The sequence below is a fragment of the Homo sapiens genome, chromosome 1, assembly GCF_000001405.40.
Source record: "Homo sapiens chromosome 1, GRCh38.p14 Primary Assembly".
NCBI lineage: Eukaryota > Metazoa > Chordata > Mammalia > Primates > Hominidae > Homo > Homo sapiens.
The window spans coordinates 24,576,982-24,597,744 of NC_000001.11; the positions used below are offsets into that span (position 1 = coordinate 24,576,982).

Sequence of the window (20,763 nt, forward strand, 5' to 3'; positions counted from 1 at the left end):
AAAAAAATTAGCTGGGCGTGGTGGTGCATGCCTGTGATCCCAGCTCCTCGTGAGGCTGAGGAAGAAGCATCACATGAATCCAGGAGGTAGAGGTTCCAGTGAGCCAAGATTGCGCCACTGCACTCCAGGCCTGGGCGACAGAGTGAGACTCCGTCTCAAAAAAAATAAAAATAAAAATAAAAAATAAAAAGGATGTCACATGCTAAAATTATAGAGCACTAGATTTCCTAGAATTTCATATTAAAATGCAGATACTCCCAGAGAATTGTCATCCTTAACTCATTAATAACAAACACTTTGTGGTTAGCCAAGCCCTTGGATAAGGCAGAGGAAGAGACAGAGAAACAAAAGCGAGACCACTGAAAGATCCATTAGGGATAAATTCAGATTTTTGGAGTTTCTAAGAAGGCACTGGCCTTGTTTTTTTTTTTTTTTTTTTTTTTTTTTTTTGGTTTTTTTGTTTGTTTTTCGTTTGTAGAGATGGGTTCTCACTACGTTGCCCAGGCTGGCCTCCAGCTCCTGGCCTCAAGTGATCCTCCCACTTCGGCCTCCCAAAGTGCAGGGATTACAGGCTTGAACCACCATGCCCGGCCTGGCCTTGGTTCTGGAAGTCAACACACTTGGTTCCAAAGAGATTGCTGGCACTCATTTGGAGTTGAATTTTTTCCTGCACTCCCATCCCCAATTTTTTTTCTCAGAAGTTTTCAGTTGCCCTGTTCATGGCATAGATATTAACTACATCTACATAGTCTTGCTTTTTGTAGGTGACTATGAAGTGACTCGGAAACCTCAGTTCGAGCTTTTGGGAGACTTAGTGCCTTACGACAGCAGGGTGGTTGCGAGGAAAGCTTAAAGGAGAGATGCATGGGCCGGGGGTCGGGGGTCTTACAAGTCGCCTCCCGGCCATGGCTCCTTTAGGGGTGGTTTGGTTCTTGCTGCTGCTGTTGCGCATTTTGTTTTGAATGAATTAGAAAAGAGGTCTAAAAAATGTACCAAATAGGCCAGGCACAATGGCTCACGCCTGTAATCCCAGCACTTTGGGAGGCTGAGGCGGGTGGATCACTTGAGGCCAGGAGCTGGAGACCAGCCTGGGCAACATAGTGAGACCCTGTTTGTACTAAAAATACAAAAGTATTAGCCAGGCATGGTGGCATGTGCCTGTAATCCCAGCTACTCAGGAGGCTGAGGCACGAGAACCTGGGAGGCAGAGGTTGCAGTGAGCCAAGATCATGCCATTGCACTCCAGCCTGTGGGACACTGTCTCAAAAAAAAAAAAAAAAAAAATTGTACCAAATAAACTACCAATGAACCTTCCTCTGTCTATGTGCTCCCGGGGGCTTTGCTGGCCCTCAGTCTCCCCATTTGTAGAAGAGAGGGCAATGGACACAGGAGTTTTCCAACTGGGGTCTCCAGGATCCTGGGACACGGAGTTGCTTCCTAGAGCCTCCACAGAGGGTGTGTGGTGTGGTGAAGAGAAATTGGGAGTGGGGTGGGAGGGAGGGTAGCTGGAATAGAAAGGAGGAGTTTTAATCCCTAAGCCTGTTGGGGGAGGGAGCTTAGTTTTCTTTTTCTTTCTTTCTTTTTTTTTTTTTTTTTTTTGAGACGGTTTCTTGCTCTGTCTCCCAGGCTGGAGTGCAGTGGTACAATCACAGCTCACTGCAGCCTCAACGTCCTGGGCTCAAGTGATCCTCCCACATCAGCCTCCTAAATAGCTGGGACTACAGGCACATGCTACCATGCCCAGCAAATTTTTATTTTTATTTCTTGTAGAGATTGGGTCCCACTATACCGTTCAAGCTGGCCTCAAGCTCCTGGCCTCAAGCAATCCTCCTGCCCCAGCCTCCCAAAGTGCTGGGATTACAGACAAGAGCCACTACACCTGACTGAGAGCTTTGTTTTCTATCATAAACTCATCCGGCAAACTCTCCAACAGAAGAGAAGAGTAGATCTCCTTTCCATCTAGACAAACACATCAGAAAATCTACAGGTTTCATTTTTTCTTTGGCTGACAGAACCTCCCCCACCCCAGTCAGGCTGGTTACCCGCAGACTGTGCCCGGCAGCGCGGACCTCGGCATCTTCTTGCTCCTTCCTACTGGAGGCTGGAGCCCCTGGTCCCTGGAATCCCTGCCCTTCTCTTGCTTCACCCCTCGCTCACTTTAGTGGGTGCATCCTCCAGGGGCTTCCTGGGAAAAGGTGCATGGGGTAGGGTGGGGGTTTTTTTTTTTTTAAAGACTTCATGCCCAAAAGTGTCCTTTCTCATAGCATCCTGTTCTTGTTTTATAGATGCAATATCTTAGCTGTCTGAATATATCAATGTTTTCTTCTTCTCTGTGCATTGTCTCTACTTGCCTTAAATGCCTCCATCTGTTCATTGTTTTGTTTGCTGTCTGTCATGCTTGGGGCTTTTCTCCTCTCAAAGGTCTTTTCTCCTCTCCTTGGCTATCTGTTCCTATTTAAGAGTAAGACATAGGCTGGGGGTGGTGGCTCATGTCTGTGATCCTAGCAATTTGGGAGGCTGAGGCCAGAGGATCACTTGAGTCTAGGAGTTCAAGACTAGCCTGTGCAACATAGCAAGACCCATCTCTACAAAACTAAAAATTAAAAAAGTTAGCCAGACATGGTGGTGCACACCTGTAGTCCCAGCTGCTCAGGAGGCTGCACTTAGGTCCAGGAATTCAAGGCTGCAGTGAGCTATGATTTGCACCACTGCACTCCAGCCTGAGCAACAGGGTGAGACCTTGTTTCAAAAATAAATAAATAAGGAAACAAAAATCCGTTCAAAACTCTAGGTGAGGTGGGCAGAGCTTGTCAACTAGCAGCCTCTCCATAGGCCGACTGGACAGAACCTGGCCATTGTATTAGAAGATTCTCTAGTCAATCAGTATCTGTAGGTCTATTCCCTTTGGCTGGTCTGTTTCCCAGAGCCTAGGCTTTGACATTCCCATTTTCAGCCAGAGATTAGCCTTTGGCAGAGCTGAGCTTCCCAGACAAATGTGCCTATGAATCTCCTGGGGTCTGGCCGAGGGGTAGGTTCTGGCTAGCAGGCCTGAGTGGAGCTGAGATTCTGCATTCCCAACAAAGCGCCAGAGCTGCCGGTGCTGCTGATCCATGGACCACACTGTGAGGGCCACAGCCTGCGGCAGCACTGCCCAAAATGACTTGACACCATCCTGTGCTGTCCAATGCGGGAGCCACCAGCCACGGCGGGTACTGGGCAGCTGAAATGTGGCTAATGCAACGGAGACACTACATTCTTAATTGTATTTAAGTGTAATTAATTTTTCTTTAACTTGCCATGGCTACATGTGGCTATCATGTCAGGCAGTGCAGGGTTACCTCCTCCTGGCTGCCTCTGCAGACGGGGGCAGAACTCACTCTGTTCTGCAGGGTGGAGGAGGCCCACAGTGGTGAGGACGGAGGGAAGGGGTGGAGGGGGGCAGAGTGGAGCTGCGCCTTAACTTTTGTCTTCCTCTTTCTTTGGGTGGGGGGATGGAGTCTTGCTCTGTCACCAAGCTGGAGTGCAGTGGTGCGATCTCAGCTCACTGCAACCTCCGCCTCACAGGTTCAAGCGATTCTCCTGCCTCAGCCTCCTGAGTAGCTGGGACTACAGGCATGCACCACCACACCTGGCTAATTTTTGTATTTTTAGTAGAGACAGGGTTTCACCATGTTTTGTCAAGTTCCAGCCTGGTCTCAAACCCCTGACCTCAGGTGATCCGCCCGTCTCAGCCTCCCAAAGTGCTGGAATGACAGGCGTGAGCCACTGCGCCCAGGCAGTCTTCCTCTGTTTAGCCCCACCTGGCACCCTGACGTTTGGTGATCTCTGTCACCACTCACTCCTGAGTCTGGGGGGCTTCTTCAGTGCAATCAGCTTTAATTGGTTTCCTAGTCTGTAGGTTTAGGCCTTTGCCTTTTCCAGGCTGTTAAGTCATACTCAGCCGTCGGCTTTTCCGGCTTTCAAACCTGGATTGGCGTCTCTCCAGTGTGGTTGTTTTCTCTTCTGTACCCTTTGGCCTTGAGAGTTGACGCCTCTTGATTCTTGATTCCTTCACTGTCATGTGCCAGGGGGTTCAGGATGAAGCAGAGATGAATAGTCGTGCTCCATCTAGTTTGCTGAACCAGCCAGAAGTCCTTTCTGCTTTTTTTTTTTTTGAGACGAGGTCTCGCTGCGATGCCAGGCTGGAGAGCAGTGGTGCTATTTTGGCTCACTGCAACCTCCACTTCCCAGGTTCAAGCGATTCTCCTGCCTCAGCCTCCCAAACAGCTGAAATTACAGGCACCCGCCACCACGACTGGCTAATTTTTGTATTTTTAGTAGAGATGGGGTTTCACCATATTGACCAGGCTGGTCTCGAACTCCTGGCCTCAAGTAATCCACCTGCCTTGGCCTCCCAAAATGCTGGGATTACAGGCATGAGCCACTGTGACCGGCCCCTGCTTTCTTTTGTTTAAAAGATGTATCCCAAACTTTGTTTATGTCAAGATAAGGCCAACCGGAATTCATCCTTCTTACCTGTAAGTTCCCTGCAGGCAGGAAATTCATTGTGTTCAGTAGCCTAGAGAAACCACCCTAAGTTACTGCACGGACTGAGAGTCGCTGGGAGAAGTCCAAGGCTCTGCCTGTCTGGGAAAGAGAGCCCAGCTAACCAACCCAGCGCACTTCCTCTAGTCTGTAAAGGGATTGATGAGGCTCATGGAGGGGCCAGACAGCTGAAAGACATCCTTGCAAATCAGAACTGGCCAGAGAGGGGCCTAAAGCAGACAGTCTACTTTAGTAGACATTTACAAGACTAAAGTCCTTACAAGACCAAAGACCTTCTAAGCCCTTGGCAGGGAGGAACTCTGGAAAGGAAGATTTGAGATTGGTTATGAGTTAACTAGGCAAATAAATCCCACAGATGGGATAGAATTCTGGCTGGCAGGGGCTGGGCTGGACCGGTCCTTCAGGACAGGATGAACTATGGATACCTTTGAAGTGAAGTTAGAGGTAAGTTGGTGCTAAGACTTACATGAAATCAGCTTGCTCAGCAGGGAAGGAATCAGGCCTGCCCAGTTGCCTCTTGAGCCCACTCCCTATTCCCCTACCCCAGCTGGCCTAGCGGCTCCAGGACTCTTTCTCTGTCCGTCTCTCACAGCCCTTCTCATGCGCAACCTCCTGATTCGTTGCTCGTGCCGACCACCCCCTGCACACATCGGATCCACCTCAGTGCCTCCCGTGGTGCTTGGCCTGTGTGTCTGCGTGTAAAGGCAGTGTAGATGAAGCAGGAGTGGATTCAGAGTGCACACCTTGGGATCAGACAGATAAGAGCCCAACTCCTATGTAGGAAGCTGAATAATGGCCTCCCAAAAACATCCTCATCCTAATCCCCCAAACCTCAGAATATGTTAGTTTGCACAGCAAAAGGAACTTTGCAGATGTAATTAAGTTCATGACTTTGAGGTGGGGAGATTATCCTGGATTAGCTGAGTGGGCCCAATGTCATCGTAAGGTTCTTTATAAGGGAGAGGCAGGAGGGTCACAGAGAGAGGAAGAGATGTGATGATGGAAGCAGAGATCAGAGAGAGCGAGGTAAGACGATGCTACGCTGCTGGTCTGAAGATGGAGGAAGAAACCACGAGCCAAGGAATGCAGGCAGCTTGCAAGAAAAGGCCCAGAAATGAATTCTCCCCTAGAGCCTCCAGAAGGAACACAGCCCTGCTAACACTTTGATTTTAGCCCACTAAGGCCAACTTTAGAATTCTGACCTCTTAAACTGAAAGAAGATTAATGTGTGTTGTTTTAAGCCACTAAATTTGCAATAATTTGTTAGAGCAGCAATAGGAAACGTATAGATCCTAGCTTTGCCATGTATCAGCACAGATGCCTCAGGCAAGTTTCCTAACTTCTCTGAGCCTCAGCTCCTATGTCTGTAAAATAGGAATAATATATGGAGAAAACATATACAAAGTACTTGGCATGGTAACTGGCACGTAAAAGACACTTGATCAATGGCAGTAATTGTGCTTTTGGTCATCGCCATCGTCGTCATCATCATGGTTATTGGTTGTTTATCCACAGGTATGAAAACAGACTGGACATTTTCCTTCTTATCTAGTTCTTCTTGGATAGGGAGAATAGGAAACTGTTAAGAGGCAGGCCAAATAGCTCTACTCCAGTGATTCTCAAGCAGAGAAAATTTTGTCTCCCAAGGACATTTGGAAATGTCCTGTAACATTTTTGGTTGTTCTAACTGGTGGGATGCTACTGGCATCTAGTGAGCAGAGAGGCCAAGGATGCTGCGATGGTGCTGAATATCCTATAATGCACAGGACAGCCCCTCACACCAAAGAATTACCTGGCCTGAATGTCAGTAGTACCAAGGATGAGAAACTCTGCCATACTCTGAGGCCTGGCTGTACCTCTTGGGCTCAAAATATCAACAGGTAGAAAGAAAAGTGAGCAGAGAGTTGCCAGGCACGGTGGCTCATGCCTGTAATCCCAGCACTTTGGGAGACCAAGGCGGGCGGATCACCTGAGGTCAGGAGTTCGAGACCAGCCTGGCCAACATGGGTGAAACCCCATCTCTACTAAAAATACAAAAAATTAGCTAGGTGTGGTGGCGCACATCTGTAATCCTAGCTACTCAGGAGGCTGAGGCAGGAGAATTGCTTGAACCCGGGAGGTGGAGGTTGCAGTGAGCTGAGATCACGCCACTGGACTCCAGACTGGGTGACAGAGCAAGACTCCGTCTCAGAAAAAAAAAAAAAAAAAAAAAGTGAGCAGGTGAGCAGAATCCTTCCCTAGCAGGGTCACTGACCATCAGAGTGTCCCCAGGAATACTGCTTACCTCCCGGGGACCAGGATTGCCGAGGACGGTTTGGAGTAGGAGATCTGAGTTTGAGACTCAGCTCCTCCACTGACCTGCTGTTAGATTTTGGGCAAGTCCCTTAACCTCTCTGAGCCTCCGTTTCCTATCAGCACAGTGGAGATGAAAAGACCTGCCTCGCTGTGTGGATTGAATGGGGAAGCATGTGAAAGCACAGTGCCTGGCACTTGCATAGGGTCTGCTTGAGTGTGGGCTTCCTTCCCTCCTGGCCTAGAATATCGAGGTGGCATTATTATCCTCTGACATATTCACTGAGGGGCATAAACCCATTAACCCTGTGCCCTCCCCCCGCCCCACAGGGACAGCGGGACACCTGGAGATTTACATGGGAGCTCCTATGGAGGTCGAGGACTCTCAAGAGTTGGGTCCTTGGCTTGAGCCCAGAGACTGAGAGGTAGACGGAAGCCACAGGTCACATTCTAGCTCTCAGTCAATCTCCACCACAATGTCCACGGGTCTCTTCCTCCCACCGACTTCTGGCACTGTGTGTGCCACCCTTTTGGCACCAGCAAAGTAAGCCTTGTGACCACTTTCAGCTGGGGTTTCTATTTATAACTCTTAGCACACTCAGCTTATCATATCTGCAGGTCTTGGGTTAGAAGCTCCTGGAGTCCCCTTTTCTTACAATGTGGGTCACAAAAATCAGAGCAAAGGACATCTGAGCCACCGTTTGACAGGGTGGGGAAGTAAGACTTCCCCTGAAGTCTGTGTGTGGTGGGCCTGAAACCCAGACTTCTGGAGCCACAGGCTGCGGCTTTTGCCATAGGACTGCAGTATGATATTGATCAGGCACCTTTCTGTGGTCAGTGCTGGGCTAGGCATGGGGTGGGCGGTGGGGTGGGGTTGATGCCCAGTACATGTGATTGAAGAAAAGATTCTGAAAGGAAACAATTCCTTTTCTCATTCTTTCGGTCTGAGTTCCTCAGGACATAATCCCCTTGGCCCCTCTGGTTTTTTGGTTTTTATTTTATTTATTTATGTATTGTTCTTTGGTTTAAAACAGACCCACGGCCCTCTTTGCGTCTTCTCAGTCCTATGCACAGGGTGGGCATTGATTGAATGGATGGGAGGACAGATGGACAGAAGAACGGGTGGAAGGACTGTGTGCCCAGTGAGTGGGTGGGCGGGTGGGTGGGTGGGGGCATGAGTGGATAGCAGGATGAAAGAATAGATGGGTAAATGGAGCAGAAAATGTGCTCCCTTATTTCTGGGAACCAACTACAAGGAACACATGTTCAGTATGTAATTGTGTATGGCCTCCAGTTCAGGGGAGCACACGGCAGAATTCCTACCCCAACTTTGGGAGCTGTGATACACAGAGCCATGAACAGACAGGGCAGACGGGGTGGGGAGCTTATGATAAGGGATCCAAGAGGAATAGAGGGTGAAGGAAATGGCCATGAAGGATTCAGGCGGCTCGGGTGACTATGTACCCTACAGAGTGCTTGGAAGTTCATTCCCGGGTTTCCTTTCTTGTGCACTGCTGTTGCCAAATCAAAGCCCCTTCATGGAATCTGCCTCGGTTTGTTCCAGTCTCTAGTGCCTTCTAGGAAGGATCGCTGCTTTCCAGAGTGATGTGCTCACGCTGACTTCCCTCTCCTCACATCCCCTGAGTCCATATCTACAAAGAAGAATAAGCTTTTGGAAGACACTGGTTCTTGTGAAGCTATGAACAGTTCCATGTAACAGAATCACTGGTTGGAAAAGCCCTTAGAGATGATCTCCAAACTGGGCTATTTTACAGGCAGGAAAACCAAGGTCCAGGGAAGGGAGAGGACTTTCCAGGATCAGGTAGCAAATGAGTGACAAGGGAAATCCTGGTCTTCCGAGTCTCAGGTTATGAATCCACAGCTTGCTCTTCCCCTGCCCAGCCACAGCCCCTGTGTCCCACCGGTCCCATCAGGACTTTTTTCTCTTTGGGGGAGATTTCACTATTTCTTCTGTCTCTGCTCTCAGTGGAGATGGAGAGGAAGATCAGGTCCTTCAGAGGTCCTGGTGAATCCCTGCTCAGATCCCCTCCTTGGGACACCAGCGTTCATGGTCTGACTCCCTCACCTCCCTGTTTATACCTGAGTTTGACCAAATGCAGCCCAAAACTTGACCAGACAGAGAACAAGGAATTCAAGCTCCAAAGAGAGCAGGGAGAACACAGACTGGAGCCAGGGAGAAGCGAAGAAGGGCTGGGAACTGGCATGAGCACTCCAGGCACTCTGTTGGGCAATTATGGTATCTCATTTATTCTCACAACCCCACGAGACAGGGGCTGTTATCCCTGTTTTACAAATGAAAGAGCGGCTCAGTTTATCAAGCTGGTCAGTGATGAGGCAAAGATGAAAATCCAGGTCTAGGCAACCCCAAAGCCCTTGCTGGGTCATGAGCCCCGAGACAATGTGCTGTGTCACAGCACTGTCATTTAGCCACCCAGGAGGAGCGGAAATGTCTCTCCTGAGGGTCCAAATCAACACGGTCAAGGCTAACAGGGATCAATGCAAAGTCCTGATTGTCAGGAAGTCATCTGCACAAGTGCAGAATGGAGTCCTGGCGAATGGACAGCAGACCATCATGATATTGTCATCATGCGACTGTCACTGCCGCTCTCTTTCCACTTTGCAGTTTATAAAGTTCCTTCACGGCTGGGCACGGTGGCTCACGCCTGTAATCCCAGCACTTTGGGAGGCCGAGGAGGGCGGATCACAAGGTCAGGAGTTCAAGACCAGTCTGGCCAAGATGGTGAAACCCAGTCTCCACTAAAAATGCAAAAATTAGCTGGGCGTGGTGGCAGGTGCCTGTACTCCCAGCTATTCTGCGAGGCTGAGGCAGAAGAATCACTTGAACCCGGGAAACGGAGGTTGCAGTGAGCTGAGATCGTCCCACTGTACTCCAGCCTGGGTAACAGTGAGACTCCATCTCAAAAAAAAAAAAAAAAAAGCACCTTCACTTGGTGATCTTGGGGCTTTGATTGGCCATTAACGAGCATAAGGATAAATGTGAAAAAGAGTTGGGGGCCATCTTTCAGCAGGTGTGCTGTGGCTGCCTGTAAGGCCAGTGAGCTATTTCTTTTTATCAATCCAGGGTAATATCGATAGATATTGTGTACAGCACTGTGCTGAGTATAGGACATGCTTCATCTCATTTAATTCTCACAACAACCCTATGGAGTTGTGACTTTTATAATTCCTATTTCACAGACCAGAAAACCAAGAGGTGAAGAAAGTTGGCCAAGGTCACACAGCTAGTAAATAGCAGAATTCAGGCTCACATCTGATAAGTATCAAGAAAACTGTCATTCTGAACATGTCAGCCCCCCTCTGGAGTCATGTGTCCAGTTTTGGGGTCATTCTTAGGGGAGTCCTTGACACAGAGGAATGAGGAACCCATGAGGGACACCATCACCCGAAGGCTTGTTTGAAGGAGCTGAGAATATTTACCCCAGAGAAGAAAATCGTCAGAGGACATACAATTGGTGTTTTGAAGGGCAGAAAGCTCCTCTGCTTAAAAACAGATTGGCTTCGCAGGATGGTTACCAACCTACAGACAACTACTATCGCCACCTATTGGTGGGAGGTAACATTGATGTGGTGATACCAGCTACCCCAACTGCTCTGTTCCATCGGTGAAAGTTTGAATTGAACCTTTCATGCACAAAGGTCAAAGGTGCCTTCTTTTCTTTTCTTTTCTTTTTTTTACAGGGACTCACTCTGTCACCCAGGCTGGAGCGTGGTGGCATGATCTTGGCTCACTGCAGCCTCTGCCTCCCAGGCTCAAGCAATCCTCCAGCCTCAGCCTCCCAAGTAGCTAAGACTACAGGTGCACACCAATATGCCCGGCTAATTTTTGTATTTTTGTAGAGAAGAGGTTTCACCATGTTGTCCAGGCTGGTCTCGAACTCCTGGGCTCAAGCAATACACCCACCTCGGCCTCCCAAAATGCTGGGATTATAGGCATAAGCCACCACTCCCCACCAGAAAAGTGCTCTTAATCCTGACAGGTTTTCACTTAGAAGAGGTAGCAGATTTACCTTTGTGGAGAGATAATTTGCACCAATAAGTAAAAATTACAAGATGCCAATATGAAGGTCAATTTTCTTTTTCTTTTATTTTTTCTTTTATTTTTTTTTAGGAGTTTAGGAGCGGAGGTTTAATAGGCAAAAGAAAGAGAAAGAAACAGAAAGGAAAACAGCTCTGTCTTTAGTGAGAAAGATGGGACTTCTGAGAGGAAAAGACTCAATTTTCTTTTCCTTTTAATTTTTTGAGATGGTATCTTGCTCTGTCACCCAGGCTGAAGTGCAGTGGCTTGATCATGGCTCACTGCAGCCTCAAACTCCTGGGCTCAAGCGAATCTCCCACCTCAGCCTCCCGAGTAGCTATCATTACAGGTTCACATCACCACACCTGGCCTTAGGGTCAATTTTCTGACCATTAAAACATCCCAATATCTCCAGGAGCTGCTTGGGAGTAGTGAGCCACTTGTCTGTGGAGGAGATCAAGTCCTGCTGAATCTCCCATCCCTCAGGAGATTGGGAGAAATCAATCCCAATGTTTTGGTGGGTCGAGGGCTTTCGTGGGTTACCTGCTCTGAGTTACAGGTGGTCAATTGAGGAGAGGTCTGCCGGGGTTGGTAGTCTCTCTATTGTCTTATCCAGGGAGGAACTTGTAAGCCAGGCCAGAGGGAGAGGGGGTACCCCTAGGGCAGAGCTTCAGGGGAGATATTTTGGACAGGTGGGAGTCTGACAGCGTTTATCTTCCACATTCAGCTCTTAGACTTGGCCAAGAGCTAGTCAGAGAAGGATGGATCCGTGAATAAATGGTTATGACCTGCCATCACTTCCCAAACTCGCCTCCCACACAGGCCTTTGTAAACAACCCAAGAAAACAACAGTCCCTTGTAGATTCTGTAAATGTGATCGAGGCTCTGCTGAACACAGAGGCTCAGAGTGTGGCCAAGGGCAGGAGTAGTTGGGTAGGAGTCAGGGTCAGGGTCATAGGCCTGGGGCAAGGGCCCTCGTCTGTCTGCTGAACCCTGGCCTGTGTGGGTTTTTTCATCAAAGCCCCACATTGATTTGGGCCCTGGATGCTGGGCCACCTGTGCTTTGTGGATTTGCTGGGAGGGTTTTTGAAGAAGGGGCTGTGAAATCGGATAGACCCTGGTTTGAATCCTGGCATGGTTGGCATAGTTTTCATATTAGCCTTGTGAAGTTAAGGCAGTTTCTTCTCTGCTCCAAGCCTCAGATTCCTCATCTTCAGAATGGACAAAGTGCCTGTGCCCTCCTTACAGGACTGGTATGAAGATTAAGTGAGATCTCCAACATAAAGCACCGAGTGCGGTGCCGGACACATAGCGCATTATTATTATTATTAAATTAACCTCTGTCAGTGAAGACTGGCCTCCCTCTCCCTGTCCTCTTTGTGTTTTCTATGGTCATGGCCCCTGGTCTTAGGGACGTTTGATACTGAAGTGCTCCTGCTGGCCCTCACTTGGTTAACAACTGTTGCTGGGGCCCCACACATGAAAACACCCACATGCTTGGCCATGGCTGTGCTACCACCCTCCCTCCCACCTTCTCTGATGCAGCAGGGACAGAGATGCAATTGAGAGCCCTCAGTCCCGAGATGAGGCAAGATATGCTCTGAGATTCCTCACTGTTCTCTGAGAGAGAAGAGCTACTGGGCCCATCCAAAAGACAGTCTGCACCTGGAACTCGGCACCCAGGAGGTCACCCCTGCAGGACCTGTAGAGGAGCCTGTGTCCTGGTGGCCTTAGGTGGCTGCATTACTGGTCAGTGTGTGTATGTGTGTGCATGTGTGTGCCTCCATGTATTCCTGCAGTGACTGGTCATAGACCCCACCAGTGTGTGTCAGGGACAGGGTGGTGTGGTAGGAAGGATGCAGACGTTGCCACATGCAACACCCAGGTTCACAAACCAGCTCTGTAGCTTTGGGGCTACGTAAGTGTGGATAGTTAGCTTTATGTTTTTATTTTTATTTTTATTTTGAGACAGAGTCTTGTTCTGTCACCCAGGCTGGAGCGCAATGGTGAGATCTCAGCTCACTGCAACCTCTGCCTCCCGGGTTCAAGCAATTCTCCTGCCTCAGCCTCCCTCAAGAGTAGCTGGGATTACAGGCAACTGCCATCACACCTGGCTAATTTTCCATGTTGGCCAGGCTGGTGTCAAACTCCTGACTTCAAGTGATCCACCCGCCTTGGCCTCCCAAAGTGCTGGGATTACAGGTGTGAGCCACTGCACCCGGCTGAGAGTTGGCTTTATATTATCAAGTCTCAGGGTCTTCATTTGAGAGAAGGGGAAAGGAAAACTTATCTTACATGGCATTTTGCTAGTTGAATCAGGGCATGGATAGAAAATATCTGTCACAAGGTCTTGGCACACGGCAAACACTCAAATGGTGGCTTCTGTCATTTTTGTGCGTGTTGGTATCACGGTGAATATGTCCATGGGTTTGGGTTGGCCAATGATTGTTCCATGTCTCTCTCACTAAGCAAACCTTGATCCGCAGCCACCTATTTGTATCTCTTTTCTGTATTTAAAAGGAATTGTATGAAAGCCTCACTGGTGAGTCTTCTTAGCTTGATGTTGGTGAGGCTAGAAGGAGAAGGTTTAGGGAAATGCATGCTAATACCCTTCACGTACTGAGGCAGGGCCGGCATCTCCCCTTGAGAGTAGAGGTGGGCAGTGCTGGGTGGGAAAGGCTTTCATTCCAAATTCTCATACTTGTCTGTGCTTTTAAAATTTTATTATATTTATTTAGTTTTAGAGACAAGGTCTTGCTCTGTCACCCAAGCTGGAATGCAATGGTGCCATCATGGCTCACTGTAGTTTGTGCCATCAAACTCCTGGGCTCAAGTGATCCTCCTTCCTCAGCCTCCCAAGTAGTGGGGACTACAGGCACACACCACCACCAGGCTGGCTAATTTGTGCTTATTTTTATAGAAAGAATGTCTCCTAGTTTTCAGCTCCAGATTTCCCTGTCTCTAAGTTAGTTCAGCAAATATTTACTAATATTCACTATAATACTTAGAGCTGCCATTTAGTGAACACTGAAAAACACTTTCCATACCCCACTTCTCACTCTCAGCTCCCTTAGGGAAAGGGAGAGGCAGTTCGTTTTACAGATGAGCAAATGAAGCTGGGAGAAATTCAGTTACTCATTCCAGCCCTTGCACGGCGAAGGAGAGAAGACCCAGACACTTTATCTGAGGAAGGTAAAAGGATATGAGAAAGAACAAGAAATAGTCTCCATCCTCAAGGACCTGACAATGAAATGTAGCATTAATGGCAGACAAAGCAGTGGACACATGCCTTGGTGATGTTTCTTTGCAGGGAGCTGCTGTGGGAGGGTAGGGGACAGAATCTCTATTTCAGTATGAGTAGGAGTCTTCCTTGGGGGGCGACTGGGGACTGGGCTGTGTCTTTTTTTTGAGATGGACTCTCACTCTGTCACCCAGGCTGGAGTGCAGTGGCGCAATCTTGGCTCACTACAACCTCCACCTCCTGGAGGTTTAAGCGATTCTTCTGCCTCAGCCTCCCAAGTAGCTGGGACTATAGGCGTGCACCACCACAAGCGGCTAGTTTTTGTATTTTTAGTAGAGATGTGGTTTCACCATGTTGGCCAGGGTGGCCTCAAACTTCTGACCTCAAGTAATCTGCCCACCTCAGCCTCCCAAAGTGCTGGGATTACAGGCATGAGTCACCGTGCCTGGCCTGGGCCGTGTCTTGAAGGCTACGCTCTTTTTCTTGGGGAGCAATAGGGCATGGCTAGCCTGGGCCTGTTTCAGGTGTTGGGAGACAGGAAGCCCAGGCAGGGAGACAGAGTGGCAGGAGTGGGGAGGTCAGGCAGAGCCACACGGGGTTCCTGGTGGGAGCTTGAGTCTGGGAGTCCGGAGGGTCTGGTCTTTGGAAGGAGGGGTAGACAAGAGCTAGGGAGGGTTAGGCAGGGCCCCGGATTAAGGGAGCACAGAGAAGGGAGAGGCAGAGCCCACCTTATAGATTAACAGGGCCAGGCCACAGAGGCCATTCTGACCCTGTGAAGCCCCCGGGGCAGGCCACTGCCACCAGAGCCCTGAGCTGGAATGCAGATGGCCTGACCCTAGTGGGTGTGTTTCAAGGTGGGTGCTGACCCCTGCTTCCATCAGAGCTGGGAGAGCAGGAAAGCCGCAGCCCATAGATAAGGACTCTCTGGAGAGACCTTGGGCAGGGACTGGGGAGGCCAATGCCTGGGGCAGCCAGCCCAGAGGCAGCAAAGACCAAATATGATGGGGGAAGAGGGAGTGCCCTGCTGTCACAGCAGTTTGGCAGAGGGTGGTGTGAGTAGCTGAGACGCTGGAAACAGAGGGTAGAACCAGCGAGTGAAGGGCTTTCACTACTGGATATTGCAGTGTCGACAGGGGGAAATGATTGTTTTTTGAGCCCCAGAATCATATGATCAAACCTATAGTCTGTCGTGCTCACTAGAACATGAGCTTCCCAAGGCAAGGAGTTCGTCTAGTATTCCCTGTGTACTCCCAGCACTGAGCCCAGCATCAGTCACTTAGTAGGTGCCACGTTGATATTTAATAGATGTGTTTCATAGATATGTACAGCCACAATATATACAATGTTTATGGATATATATAATATATATGTTATGTAGTAAACATTTTAAAACTTTGATAAGAATACACACTAATGGTCAAGGGAGTGGTTACTTTGGGGAAGAGAGGAAATAGGATTGAGATAGAATACAAAAGGGATTTCAGCTATGTCTGATTTTTTTTCTTATAAAGAAGAACTGGGACCAGGCGCAGTGGCTCACACCTGTAATCCCAGCATTTTGGGAGGCCAAGGCAGGTGGATCATGAGGTCAGGAGATCGAGACCATCTTGGCTAACACAGTGAAACCCCGTCTCTATTAAAAATACAAAAAAATTAGCCGGGAGTGGTGGCGGGCGCCTGTAGTCCCAGCTACTCGTGAGGCTGAGGCAGGAGAATGGCGTGAACCCGGGAGGCGGAGCTTGCAGTGAGCCGTGATCATGCCACTGCACTCCAGCCTGGGCAACAGAGCAAGGTGGCTCACGCCTGTAATCCCAGCACTTTGGGAAGCTGAGGCTGGTGGATCACTTGAGGTCAGGAGTTTGAGACTAGCCTTGGCCAACGTGGTGAAACCCCATACTACTAAAAATACAAAATATCTGGATGTGGTCGTGGGCCCTTGTAATCCCAGCTACGTGGGAGGCTGAGGCAGGAGAATCACTTGAACCCAGGAGACAGAGGTTGCAGTGAGCCGAGATTGTGCCACTGCACTCCAGCCTGGGTGACAGAGTAAGACTCTACCTCAAAAGAAAAAAAAAAAAAGAACTGGGCTGGGCATAGGGGATCATGCTTGTAATCCCAGCACTTTGGGAGACCAAGGTGGGAGGATCGCTTTGAGTCCAGGAGTTTGAGACCAGTCTGGGCAACATAATGACATCTAGCCTCTATAAAAAAAAAAGAGTTTTTTTAATTAGCCAGGCATGGTGGTGAATGCCTGTAGTCCCAGCTATTCAGGAGGCTGAAGTGGGAGGATTACTTGAGCCTGGGAGGTTGAGGCTGCAGTGAGCTATGATTACATCACTGCACTCCAGCTGGGGCAACAGAGTGAGACTCCATCTCAAATAAATAAATAAATAGAAAAACTGAAGAAAACATGACTGTAAACATTTGCTAAATGTGAATGGTCAGTACGTGGGCTCCTGTAATATTTGTCTTCATAATTTAAAAAACATTTCTTACTTTTAAAAAGAAAATAAATTTATACACCATTTTTTAAAATGTCCAGAATCTCTCTTTCTCCAGTAGATGGCTGTGTTGAGGCCTATGGCTTCTTAAGATTACAAACAAGCCTAGGCAATTCTCTCAATGTAGACCCTTCGTGGGCTTCCAAATTGTCAGCAGCTGGAGTAAAAGTGCCACTCGGAAATAATGAAGCCAAGCTTGGCTTGCTTCCTTATATTCTTGACCCCTATAGTTCAGAGCGATTATTTATTTATTTATTTATTTATTTATTTATTTATTTATTTATTTTTTATTTTGAGACAGAGTGACTCTGTCGCCCAGGCTGAAATGCAGTGGTGCAATCTCTGCTCACTGCAACCTCCACCTCCCAGGTTCAAGTGATCCTCCTGCCTCAGCCTCCCGAGTAGCCGGGATTACAGGCACCCACCACCATGCCTGGCTAATTTTTGTATTTTTAGTAGAGACGGGGTTTCACCATGTTGACCAGGCTGGTCTCAAACTCCTGACCTCAGGTGATCTGCCCACCTCAGCCTCCCAAAGTGCTGAGATTACCGGCATAAGCCACCATGCCAGGCCCAGAGTGATTATAATATCATCGTGCCTAGATTATGGTTCTTGGTGGAGGATCTCAAAACTTCTTTCCAGTGGTGACATCATACTAACTGTGTAGGTCCTGGCTCACCCCTCAAATGTAACATTGTAGCCTTGTGCATTTTGATTCTTAGTGGCCTCAGGGTAAAAAAATACATTGTACACTCAGAGAGTGTTTGAGTCCAAGCTCCACCTCCTACTTGTATGACCGGTTGATTCACTCAACCACCTTGAGTCCCAGCTTGCTCAGTAGGAGGGTGTAGATGACAGCCACTTCTCAGTGCCTGAGAGGATTAAATCGATAATATAGTGTGTGAAGTCTCCTGAGACAGAGCCTGGTACATGGTAGATTCCCAAACTGCATTAACTCTCTTCCGATTGAAGGCTTTGTGCAACCCAGCCTTTGTTCTCTTTCCCCTTACGCCCCAACCATGCCCATTTTTCAAGGCATATTCAACTGTATCTCTTCCATGAAATTGTTCCTCATAGCCCAATGGCTCATGTCACTGACTGCTTCATAATCATAATTCAAAATCAGCCAGGCTTGGTGGCACATGCCTGTAGTCCCAGCTACTCAGGAAGCTGAGGTGGGAAGATCACCTGAGCCCAAGGAGGTCGAGGCTGCAGAGAGCCGTGATTGCACCACTGCACTCCAGCCTGGGCGACAGGGCAAGACCTTTATGTAAAAAAAAAATTTTTTAAATCATAGTTAATTTTTCATCTGTTTATTTATTTATTTATTTTTGCCTCCTCATATAGTAAAGCCTTTGAAAGTAGGAATGCCAGTTCAAGTGTCACTGCAGCGTGGAGAAAAGCCCACTGGAGTGGGAGGTTGATTGACATCTTTGGTTAAATTCTGTTAGGTCAACTTGGGACTCCAGGTAGCTTTGGGGACTTTGATTTCACCAGTAAAATGGCAACAGTAACTCACCTCACATAGTTTCGAGAGATTGATCCAGATATTTGAAGGAGTTGAGTAAATATGGTTGAATAAATTTAAGCAGTTTAGAAAAACAAAGTTCCTTACAAATGTCGGGTATTAGTATTAAATCCCCACCCACGGTATCTAATAATGGGTTTTGCATTTACTTGCTGCCAAGAGAAACTGCATGCTTGAATATTCTACAGTCATCCAGATAAAGACCAAAAGAGGCATCAAGTAGCAATAATAAGGATTTATCTAATTTTAAACAAAATATCTTCTTCTTTCTCATCAGGATCGAGATGACCACAGCCACCCCTCTGGGGGATACCACCTTCTTCTCACTGAACATGACCACCAGGGGAGAAGACTTCCTGTATAAGAGTAAGGTCAAATTCGCTTAGAGGCTGGGGGAAGGATGGCAGGACCAGTGTCATGGTCATAGTGCAGAGGTTAAGAGTGTGGGCTCTGGAGGTGGACTGCCTGGGTCTCAGGCCCAGTTCTGCCACGTGCCAACTGCAGCATTAATGACAGACAAAGCAATGGACATATGCCTCGGTGGTGTTTCTTTGCAGGGCACTGCTGTGGAAGGGTAGGGGACAGAACCGCTATTTCTGTCTGAGTGGGAGTCTTCCAGGGAAGGGCAAATGGGGACTGGACTGTGTCTTTTTTTTTTTTTTTTTTTTTGAGATGGAGCACATGTCTTTACTGCTCTGTACCTCAGTTTCCTCATCTATACAATGGGGATATTAAAGAAGCTACCACATAAGGCAGTTGTGATGACTAAAGGGGATAATCCAGGTTGACAGTTTAGCACAGCCTCTGGTAACATACTAAGTACCTAATGATGATGATTATTTTTATTACTATTGGCTGGGTGTGGTGGCTCACACCTTTAATCCTAGCACTTTGGGAGGCTGAGGCATGTGGATCACTTGAGATCAGGAGTTTGAGACCAGCTTGGCCAAAATAGTGAAACCCCATCTCTACTAAAAATACAAAGATTAGCTGGGCATGGTGGTGTGCACCTGTTACTCAGGAGGCTGAGGCAGGAGAATCACTTGAACCTGGGAAGCAGAGGTTGCAGTGAGCTGAGATCGTGCCACTGCACTCCAGCCTGGGCAACAAAGTGAGCCTCCAAAACAAACAAAAAAATATTACTACTACTACGATTGCTATTGTTTTCGTTAAAAAGTCTTGGGACCTAGAAAGCACTGAAATTTGAATCTCTTATAAAATGGCTCTAAATGGGTCACCTTAAAATGTAGCTACTGCTGGGCATGGTGGCTCATGCCTGTAATCCCAGCAGTTTGGGAGGCCAAGGCAGGCAGATTGCTTGAGCTTGGGATTTCAAGACCAGCCTGGGCAATATGGGGAGACACCATGTCTACAACAAATACCAAAATTAGCCAGGCATGGTGGTGACGCTCCTGGAGTCCCAGCTACACGGGGGGTGCTGAGGCAGGAGGATCGCTTGAGCCTGGGAGGTCGAGGCTGTGGTGAGCTGAGATTGTGCCACTGCATTCCAGCCTGGGTGACAGAGCGAGAACTTGTCTCCAAACAAACAGACAAACAAAAATCCGAAGTAGCTATTTTTATACTATATTGCAAGGCAAAAAAACATCCCATCAACTGATGAAAGAGTAAATGAATGTAGGCGGGAAGAGTGAGTTCTGGGGAGGCATTTGCCGTGAACTAGTGGCCCCGGAAGGAAAAATTTCAGGATGACTCTTCAGAAAATCAATTGATGGTATAAGGAGACGCTTGGGTGTGTGTCAGCCATTTCAGCTGGCTACACATATACCCCTGGGCATGGGACAGACTTCCCTACACACAGGGATAAACAGCTTCAGGCTGTGGTTCTGGCAGGTGGCTGGATGAAGGGCAGGATGTGTCTCTTCCATGAAGAGTCAGAAGGGGTTGCTCCCAGGACGGGGTCCCATGGGCTATCCTGCTGCTGGCTGGGTGGGCAGACCTACAGAGGCCTGAGGAGGTGTGTCTCCAAACAGTCCTGAGGGAAATGCAGGGTAGAGAGAATCACTATCAGGAAGACGAGAATAATTCTGTTTTTCTTGAACTGAAAGTAGTGGTTCTTGGCCGGGCACAGTGGCCCACGCCTGTAATCCCAGCACTTTGGGAGGCCAAAGTGGGTGGATTACCTGAGGTTGGGAGTTTGAGACTGGCCAGCATGGTAAAATCCCATCTCTACTACTAAAAATACAAAAATTAACTGGGTGTGGTGGTGCATACCTGTAGTCCTAGCTACTTGGGAGGCTGAGGCATGAGAATCGCCTGAACCTGGGAAGTGGAGGTTGCAGTGAGCCGAGATCACACCACTGCACTCCAGCCTGGGTGTCAGAGAGAGACTGTCAAAAAAAGAAAGAGAAGGAAGGGGGGGGGGGAGGGGGAGGGGGAGGGGGAGGAGAAGGGGGGGAGGTTCTCCTGTAAAAACAAAAGAGAAGAAAGAAGAAAGAAAGAAAGAAAGAAAGAGAAAGAAAGAAAGAAAGAAAGAAAGAAAGAAAGAAAGAAAGAAAGAAAGAAAGAAAAGAAAAAGAAAGAAAGAAAGAGAAAGAAGGAAAGATTGGTTGGTTCTCAACTAGGTGTTTTTGCCCTGCT

The 20,763-nt window shown here is 48.2% G+C and overlaps 1 protein-coding gene across 3 annotated transcripts in view; it reads left to right on the forward strand.

The window, feature by feature from the left end:
• The window catches only part of NCMAP (non-compact myelin associated protein), a 53,242-nt gene that overhangs the window by 20,895 nt on the left and 11,584 nt on the right, over positions 1–20,763 (forward strand). For 2 of the 3 annotated variants that reach the window (NM_001010980.5, XM_011541463.3), the window contains exon 2: positions 18,443–18,531. In NM_001010980.5, coding sequence (NP_001010980.1) covers positions 18,450–18,531 — 82 coding nt within the window. In that variant the 5' untranslated portion in view covers positions 18,443–18,449. Of the gene's footprint in view, positions 1–12,468; positions 12,644–18,442; positions 18,532–20,763 lie in introns of those variants that run through there. The other variant, XM_005245872.4, reaches the window with a different exon arrangement.